This window comes from Homo sapiens, chromosome 12 (genome assembly GCF_000001405.40).
Source record: "Homo sapiens chromosome 12, GRCh38.p14 Primary Assembly".
Taxonomy (NCBI): domain Eukaryota; kingdom Metazoa; phylum Chordata; class Mammalia; order Primates; family Hominidae; genus Homo; species Homo sapiens.
The window spans coordinates 18,148,598-18,158,136 of record NC_000012.12 but is presented as its reverse complement, the minus strand read 5'-3'; the positions used below and the strand labels follow the sequence as shown (position 1 = coordinate 18,158,136).

At 36.2% G+C, this 9,539-nt stretch overlaps 1 annotated feature.

Annotated features, from left to right (window-relative positions):
• Positions 3,862–4,459: an enhancer, noted in NCBI's record as "OCT4-NANOG hESC enhancer chr12:18306612-18307209 (GRCh37/hg19 assembly coordinates)". NCBI's record gives its function as "activates a minimal SCP1, AML or CMV promoter by ChIP-STARR-seq in naive H9 embryonic stem cells {active_cell/tissue: H9 hESC(naive)}" and the evidence as "EXISTENCE:reporter gene assay evidence [ECO:0000049][PMID:30033119]".

Here is a 9,539-nt window from a genome sequence, read left to right as displayed (position 1 = left end):
CACATTCTGGGCCCATAATTTGTATATATAAAATTAGCTGGAGTCCCAGAAGTTGGGGTCCCAGACTCATTGGATTGAGACAAATTCACTATCAAAAATAAGAGCATCTACCTAAGGCTTCAAACTAAATCCCATCCAGTTAATTATCAAGTGTAATTTGATTCTGTACCCAGTTCAGTCTAAATATTGCTCAGATAAATTCAGCGCTCAGATCACAAATTAACGAAGTTCAGAATCCTAGAGAAATCTCATCTATGACCTCCAGTTACAATCGAGGGAGCAGTGAGCACAACTAGTGCTGTGGGCACCTCTTCTGGTCACCTAGTATTCCTAGAGGTTGCTGGAATTTTGCCTCAGATCCCACTTGTGACACCAGATCTGTTCGAAGAAAAAGTTTAGAGAAATCAAATGCAACAAAGTTTAATTGAACAAGAAAAAGGAAATAATTTGTGAATTGGGCAGTCCTCAGAATCACAGCAGATTGAGAGAGACTCCATGGATGTTGCATAGTTGAAGCAAATTTATGGACAGAAAAAGGATAATAATGTATAGAAAACAGACGTGAGGTAAAGAAACTGCTGGATTGGTTACAGTTTGGCATTTGCCTTATTTGAAAATGGTTTAAACAGTCGGCTACCTATGAATGGTTGAAGTATGTCTGCTAGGGTTGGCTGATACTAAGTTGCTGTTACCGAAGCATACTCCTTCATTAGGGTTTCAGTCTGCCTATCTACTAAGATGTGTTATGGCTTGTCTATAGGGACTCATGCATGGAAATACAGAGGATTTCTCAGGCCAGATTTCAGTTTGCTTTAACAATAAGAATATAGACACACTGCTGGACAGCAACCTATGCTCAATCCTGAATTCTTTTTATTGTTAACTGAAGGAGTTTGGTCAAGTTATTTAATTGTTTAAAAGCCACATTATCTGTAAAATGGGGATAAATAAAAATGAATAACTGCACATTTTTTCTGTGGAGTAAATGAGGTAATCTGCATTAGGGCTTGATTTGTAACTAGTATTCACAAAATATTGTTAAACTGCTATTAGTTTTCTTTCATTCAATTTTTTTTCCCAGTTTAAAAGAATGTTGCGATACCAGCAAAAGAAAAATAACTGCCTAAGAACTCTGAAGGGAAATAAAAGTTGACCGAAAATGGAGAAGTATTAACATCTTCAGCAGTAACCCAAATAGAAGTGAATTTTCTTTTGTTTCCCTTTATTCTCTTGTAGCTTTGAAGTGAGAACAGGTCTGGTTCATGGGACTGACTGGTGGCATAGCTGATATTTAAATGACGCTCCACCCAACAAGAGCAGAATATACTTTCCTTTCAGATACACATTCAACTTCCAACTAAACCATTTAATGAGCTACAAAAATCCTTAGTAATTTTAAAATAATGAAAATTATACAAAGTATGAGCCTGAACAATGATAAAATTAAACTGGAAATCAGTAACAAAAAAATCTTGAAAACTGTCTATATTTAGGAAATAGTCAACAAACTTTCTCCTTTGTTAGAATATCACAAGGGAAATTACACATTTTTTAACTGAAACAAGTGAAAATACAATATACAAATGTATACTATTCTGTTAAAGCAGTGATTTGGGGAAAATTTATAGCAAAAAATACTTCTAGTAGAAAAGAAGAAAGGACTCAAATTGATGATCTAACTTTTATCTTAAGATATTGGAATAAGAAAAGCAAATGAAAGTTGAAATAAGCAGAAGCAAGAAAATCTTTTTTTTTTTTTTTTGAGATGGAGTCTCGCTGTGTCACCTAGGCTGGAGTGCAGTGGCATGATCTTGGCTCACTGCAACCTCCATCTCCTAGGTTCAAGTGATACTCCTGCCTTAGCCTCTTGAGTAGCTGGGATTACAGGTGTGTGCCACCACACCCAGCTAATTTTTGTATTTTTAGTGGAGACGGGGTTTCACCATGTTGGCCAGGCTGGTCTCGAACTCCTGACCTCAGGTGATCCACCTGCCTCAACCTCCCAAAGTGCTGGGATATCAGGCGTGAACCACTGTGCCTGACCACATCTTTAAAAAGATTAATAAAATTGGTAAATCTGTAGCCAGATTGACAGAAATAGCCATATAAATAGAGATTTTATTAGGAATGAAGACAAAGAATCATTACAGTCATTCAAATTGATAAGAAAATATTATAAACAACTTTATACCAATAATTTCAAAAGCTTAAACTAAATCAATTCCTTGAAAAGACACAAACTATTAAAATTCACTTAAGAAGAAACATACAATGAATAGTGTTACACTGATTAAAGAAACTGAATTTGAGTTTAAAACTGAACAAAGGAAACTCCGTTCATGGATAGTCTCACTGATGAATTCTTTAAAAGAGTTAAATAAACTGAAGATAATTAGAATCTTTCTAACTCATTGTATAAGGCCAGGTTTACCTAATTACCAAAACTAGATAAAAACATTGTTGTAACCACCCAATGGGTTCACCTTGCCCACTGCCTAGACAGAGCCAATTATCGAGACAGGGAATTGCAATAGAGAAAGAATAATTCACATAGAGCCAGCTGTGCAGGAGACCAGAGTTTTATTACCACACAAATCAGTCTCCCCGAACATTTGGGGATTGGAATTTTTAAAGATAATTTGGTGAGCAGGGGTTTGGGAAGTGGGGAGTTCTGATTGGTCAGATTGGAGACAGAATCATAGTGGGGTTGAAGTGAGGTTTTCTTGCTGTCTTCCCTTTCTGGGTGGGATCATAGAACGGTTGAGTCGGATTACTGGTCTGAGTGATGTCAGCTGATCAACTGAGTGCAGGGTCTGCAAAATATCTCAAGCACTGATCTTAGGTTTTACAATAGTGATGTTATCCCCAGGAGCAATTTGGGGAGGTTCAGACTCTTGCAGCCAGAGGCTGCATGATTCCTAAACCATAATTTCTAATCTTGTAGCTAATTTGTTAGTTTTAAGAAGGCAGACTGGTCCCAAGGCAAGAAGGGGGTCTTTTCGGGAAAGCGCTATTATCAATTTTATTTCAGAGTCAAACTATAAACTAAATTCCTTCCCTAGGTTAATTTGGCCTATGGCTAGGAAAGAACAAGGACAGCTTAAAGGTTAGAAGAAAGATGGAGTCGGTTAGGTCTGATCTCTTTCACTGTTATAATTTCCTCAGTTATATTTTTTGCAAAGGTAGTTTCATTATGAGAAAAGAATACTGAAGACCAATATTCCTCAAAAACATAGGGACAGAAATCTATAACGAAATATCAGTATATCAAATCCAGGATTACACAAAAGACCTTTGGATTTGGATTTGAGTTTGGATTTGAATGTAAGGTGAATTTTCTCACCAGAATGACAGGTAGATGTCTATGGTTAGCCAGGTTGACCTATCTTTCTCTTCCCTTGTCTTGCAGGAGAGTACTCTAATAACGCAAACATTTGCAAATGCTTCATCTACAGATTATTACATTAAAAATTTTGTAACATTTGAAAGATCACTGGACAAGGCCTCTATAGATAATGAGGGGAAAATCAAAACAATGCTTGTCTACCATTTCTGATAAAATAGCACAACTTATTAGAGGATGCTGGCTGTAATGGAAACAAGGATCTGGAGACCGAATTGGAGAGGACTTCAAAAATGGGATGAATGTATCTTGCATTACCTTGAGTATAAGTTTATTCACTTGGCCCAAGTTGTTGGTAAGCATTGGAAGTTCAAGCATCCCTAGATATCCTTAGGACAGAGTGGTTTTGCCCTCTCTAGATCACCTGGAATTCAGGAAAGCCACAGCTATTAAGTATGAGTCTCCTCTATTTGCCAGGGTTCTCCAGAGAAACAGAGCTAATAGGATTAGCTAGCTAGCTAGACAAAGAGATTTATTTTATTTATTTTAGGATTTGGCTCACACAGTCATGAAGGCAGAGAAGTCCCACAATCTGCTGTCTGCAAGCTAGAGACCCACGAGAGTTGATGGTATAATTCCAGTCCAAGTGTAGAAGACATGCCCCACTTCAAAACCAATCAGGCAGAGAGAGAATTCCCCTGTACCATGGCTTTTGTTCCATTTAGGCTTCCAATGGATTGAATGAGGTCCACCCACACTGGGGAGGGTAATTGACTTTACTCAGTCTACTTATTCAAATGTTAATCTCATCCAGAAACACCTTTACAAACACAGCAACAAGAACATTTAACCAATTATCTTGGCAGACCATGTCTCACTCAAGTTGATACTTAACATTAACAATCACCTCTCTCAACAGTAGGCTGAGCTGCGTTTTACACATACATGACAAGAGCTTTTGAATACCAATTGAAATTTCTGAGCGTGTTTTTATTTGAATTTTAAATATAAATTTTTCTAAAATATGTAATACGTGCCTCAGGCTTCTTGACCTATTCAACATATAATAGTATAATTTAACATGTGCTTCAAAAATTCAGGTATACACACACACACATTTACACACACACACATCCATGTTCATTTTCTGAATGGCTAAGATATAATATCAAACTTTTTGTATATTTATAGCTTTAGGTACAGAGAGATAAATGGGCACGGAGAAGGCTCTGTAACTTAATTTATTGAAAAAGATCCTGATGTAGTTTCATTTTCTAATAATATATCCTCTCCCTCAAGAAACTCTGAGTTGCTTATTTCTGCCACCTCTTCTTTTTCTCCCACTCCACATACTAAATATTACAGGTATCTCTTGTTATTGATTTGTCTTTATTGTGGAACCCTGATTATCTTAGAGGCCTCTTGCCCTGCTTCTACATGCCAATGTTTCTAACTTTTGCTTATTTATTGCTGAACCATATTTTTCCTCATCTCTGTTTCTGAAAGCCTCAACTGCTGCTAGGTAGCACTGTTTTAAATGATCATTTCTGCTGTCATCAGATTTAAATGAAGGTACCTTTTCTATTGCTTGATCTCTCTTTATTTCTCTCCATTTTTTCCTTCTCTTGTCCGCTTTTGCCAATAAAAACTTCATCTATCAGATATTCTAGAAAGTATTTTAAATTTCCAATAAGCAAATTTTAAACATTGCAGTAATAATAACTTCCAAGTACTAGCATCGGGCAATCAATTATTTGTGGTTTAAGAGTGCAGCTTTTGGAGTTAGACCTGGCTGTGTTCTTTCCAAACATTTATTCATTTATTTAACAAATATTTGTTGAGCTTCTACTATGAACAAAGGACAGTGCTAGATGCTGCAGATACAGTGAAAAATAGGATTAAAATTTTCCACCCCAATCGAATTATGGCAGAGGTGATTCTGATCGTGCTAATGTTTGACAATTAATTACCCAAACTGTTTTCTTTTTTTTTTTTTTTTTTTGAGATGGAGTCTTGATCTTGTTGTCCAGGCTGGAGTGCAGTGGCCTGACCTTGGCTCACTGCAACCTCCATCTCCTAGATTCAAGTGATTCTCCTGCCTTAGCCTCCGAAGTAGCTGGGATTACAGGCATGTGCCACCATACTCAGCTAATTTTTGTATTTGTAGTAGAGACGGGATTTCTCCATATTGGTCAGGCTGGTCTCAAACTCGCAACCTCAGGTGATCCACCTGCCTCGGCCTCCCAAAGTGCTGGGATTACAGGCGTGAACCACCACGCCCAACCTTATCCCAGATTATTTTAATAGATAAATCTGTTGTGGTCTGCAAGGAGAAGGAAAGTGTGTATGAAGTTGGAATTAAGAGTAAAAGTGACTAGCTAAGCGAAGAGGAGGAGGCAACCATTCCAAGCAGAGGAAACAGTAGGTGAGATGATCTGACATGAAAGAGCTTTGGTACACTGAGAAGCTCATGTGTAAAGGCCACTCACAGGTAAGGCTGAAGTGTCAAAAATGAGAGGGGCTGGGAAGATAGGCAGAGCAGTTCATGGAGGGCTTTGCAGGCTGGATTATGGGTTGGGATTTTCTTTTAAGAGCAAAGAAATTTCAAGAGTTTTATATGCAAATCACACTACAGTCACACTCAGTTTACACCTCTGTAATGGGGATAATAATATGAATCACAGGGTTGTAACTGGAATTATATATGATTAAATTTAAAAAGTGTTAATTTTAGTTTTTAAAATATTAATCACTTAATTATGGTTATTAATTTATTATTGTTTTATGATGTGCTTTTACATGCATGATTTCTAAACCTTAAAACTATCCTAAAAGCATGGCAATCCTCTCTTAACAGGTAAGATGATCAAAGCTCAGATAAGGTGATAACTTACCCAAGGTTATGGTCAAAACATTAATACAGAGTCTTGAACAATTGTGACCTACCAGGTGGAATGCCTCTCTGCCTGAGGTCACTAACCCCGCCATGCTTTGTAACCTGCCTGTGTCTTTGCAAAAACTTTTCCCTCTGTCTTCAGAACACAGATCAGATACTATCTATTTAGGAAGTCTTCCTGAGTCCTAGGTAAAGTAAATCTGTTTTTATTCTGCATAATTCTGTGCACATATTTCAGCTGCGATATTATCATGCCCTCAGATTTTATTTGTTCACTTACCTATGTTCCTTACTTGACTAGGAGCTTTCTGCTCCCCTCAGTCTAATTCCATATCTGTGTCTCCAGTACCTTTCACAATGCCTGGCAGATAATGCCTTATTAATAAATGTTTGTTAAATTTAGTTGAAAATAACTAAGACATTTACAACTGTAACATTTTATATATTGATTAAAAGATATTATGCATCTTTGTCATCATGGTTTACTCTCCCCATGTTTAGATAGCTACCTTTTTTTCCTCTACATTATGTACTTGAATGTGAGTATATTGGTTCATTCATAAGTATATATATCTGATATTTTGAAATCCTGACCTTCTTTTGTTCCATTTTTTTCTACATTGTCTTTTGCTTGGCTGAATCATCTCGTTATCAGTCTTGTTACAGATAAATAACTAAAGCTAGAAACTTGTCATTGCATCATGTTGTGCCTTAAATATCTAGCCTAGCTGTTAAACTACTTAAATTCTGATGAGAATTCAGTTTATAGCATATTATGGGGCTTGCATAGTACTCATCTACCATGAAGCTGGAACTTTCTTAAGCTTATTGTTTACTAGAGTGCTTGTAGAACACTACAGAGGAAAAGCTTTATATAGTGCTAGCTTGCCCACAGAGTAGCGTGTTTTTTCATATGTTAGCAGAAAGATATGATATATTAAACTGTTTTGAATTTAGCGCCAATTTAGCTTTGAAAATGAATGTTTTAAAGCTTAGACTCTACTTTTACTACTCATCTCTTAGCATACTAACATTAACATAATACAATTTTTGACAGAAGGGATTCTCCACGTGTCCCCTCAATCTTTAATTCAATGTAACTGTGATACATCTTAGAACGAAATCAACTTTCACTTATGTAAACCATGTATTTTGTATCTGGCCATGCTTTAAATATTATGAGATATGTAGGAGGCAGTATTCAATTTTTTTGTTTGTTTGTTTTGAGACGGAGTCTCACTCTGTCGCCAGGCTGGAGTGCAGTGGTACAATGTTGGCTCACTGCAAGCTCTGCCTCCCGGGCTCAAGCAATTCTCCTGCCTCAGCCTCCTGAGTAGCTGGGACTACAGGTACGTGCCACCACACTGGGCTAATTTTTGTATTTTTAGTAGAGATGGGGTTTCACCATGTTGGCCAGGATGGTCTCGATCTCTTGACCTTGTGATGTATCTGCCTTGGCCTTCCAAAGTGCTGGGATTACAGGCATAAGCCACCGTGCTGGGCCCTATACAAATATTTTCAATAAAAATTCTTTGTATGTACCATTTGATTTTATTTTATGTGTTATAAAATTAAAATGCATCCTCAAAAAAATACAGAAAAATAAAAAAAGTAAAATAAAAAATTCTCTCAAATATATAGACAAATAATCAAGAGAGAAATGTTTACGCATAAGTATATAAACATCACAGTTTTATGCACTCATATATGAGAATGAACTTATCCACACTGAACAATCAGGGCTACACTGATTGCAATAGTCATACTGCATACTCCTAGACACATTTCACACAAGGAACTAATAAAATATCCCTTTATCACTCTTCTATTTATTTCTGCCGTTTAGTGCTAGAGCAAGTCCAGCAAGAAAGGAGAGAGCACTTAAAATTCCCTGCTACTTGAAATTTTCTTAATTTTTCCCCTTTCTATATGTACTATGTGTACATTTTTTCTTTTCTGTTTGTAATGTAACTTATTTGTATCATAACTCTTTTTTTCTTTATTTTACCAAAGGTTTAAAATCAGGTTTTAATTTTTTTTTAATTTTCTTGTTGTTCTTTTAAATTAATTTATACTATTTGCTTTAAATATTTTTCTTTCATTTTTAAGTTTAGATTTACTCTTGTTCTTTTTCCAAGCTTCTTGTGTTGACTACTTAATAATTTTTCAGGGTGTCTTGTTTTATTAATAAACACATTTGCAATTTTACAATTTTCACCAAAAATTATTTAGCTGCATTCCACGTCTATTGCAATGCAATGCTTCTATTGTCTTCACTTTTGAAGATTTTGGGTAAACATTATCTTTTTTTTTTGAGACAGGATCTTGCTCTTTCACCTGGGCTGGAGTGCAGTGGTGTGATTACTGCTCACTGCAGCCTGTAACTCCCAGGCTAAAGCAGTCCTCCCAACTCAGCCTCCTGAGTAGCTGGGACAACAGGTGCATGCCACCATACCTGGCTCATTTTTGTATTTTTTGTTGAGACAGAGTCTCACTGTTACCTAGGCTGGTCTGGAACCCCTGGGTTCAAGTAATCCTCCTGCCTTCGGCTCCTAAATTGCTGGCATTACAGTCATGAGCCACCACACCAGACTCATTTTTTTTTAAGCTATGAGAGCAGGCAAAGAGCCAGACTAAAGAACCATGCATGGGCTTTCGACTGCCTCTGCTCAGAAGGATCACACATCTCTCATGCTCACATTTCATTGATTAGAATTAATCACAGAGGAGTGACTCACTGCAGAGGGGAGAAGTACAAACTTCAATGTCCAGAAAGACAGGATCACCAGCTACCTGTGAGCACCAGTGAGCCCACTACAATGTTTGAATTATGCTTTTTATTGTTATGTGCTGTGTCTATTCACTTCTCTGATTTTTATATTAAATTTAAATTTGCCCTCATTTTAAAGTTAATATGTCAGTTTTCTAAATTGATCTATGTTATATGTTATTACATAGACTCTTTTAAAAATTATTTTTCTGGATTTTTTGCTGAATATTTTTATTTTTCAGTTTTTTCAGTGAGATGTAGATTTACCATATGTCTTGATTAGGTAGATTTATCATTTGTCTTGATTCAGATTAGGTCTGAAGTTTTATTTTAATTTTCTTAAATAAATTGATAAATACCACTTGTTTATATTTGTTGTGTGTGTATGCACACAAACACACACATACTTATGTTGTGTTTTTTATTTCCCAGTTCTATTTTTTAAATTCCTCACTTTCTTTTGTTTTATAAATTTGTTTGGACAGAATATGTATTCTTACTCTCTTTCTCATGCTTCTGTTGTTTTAGAA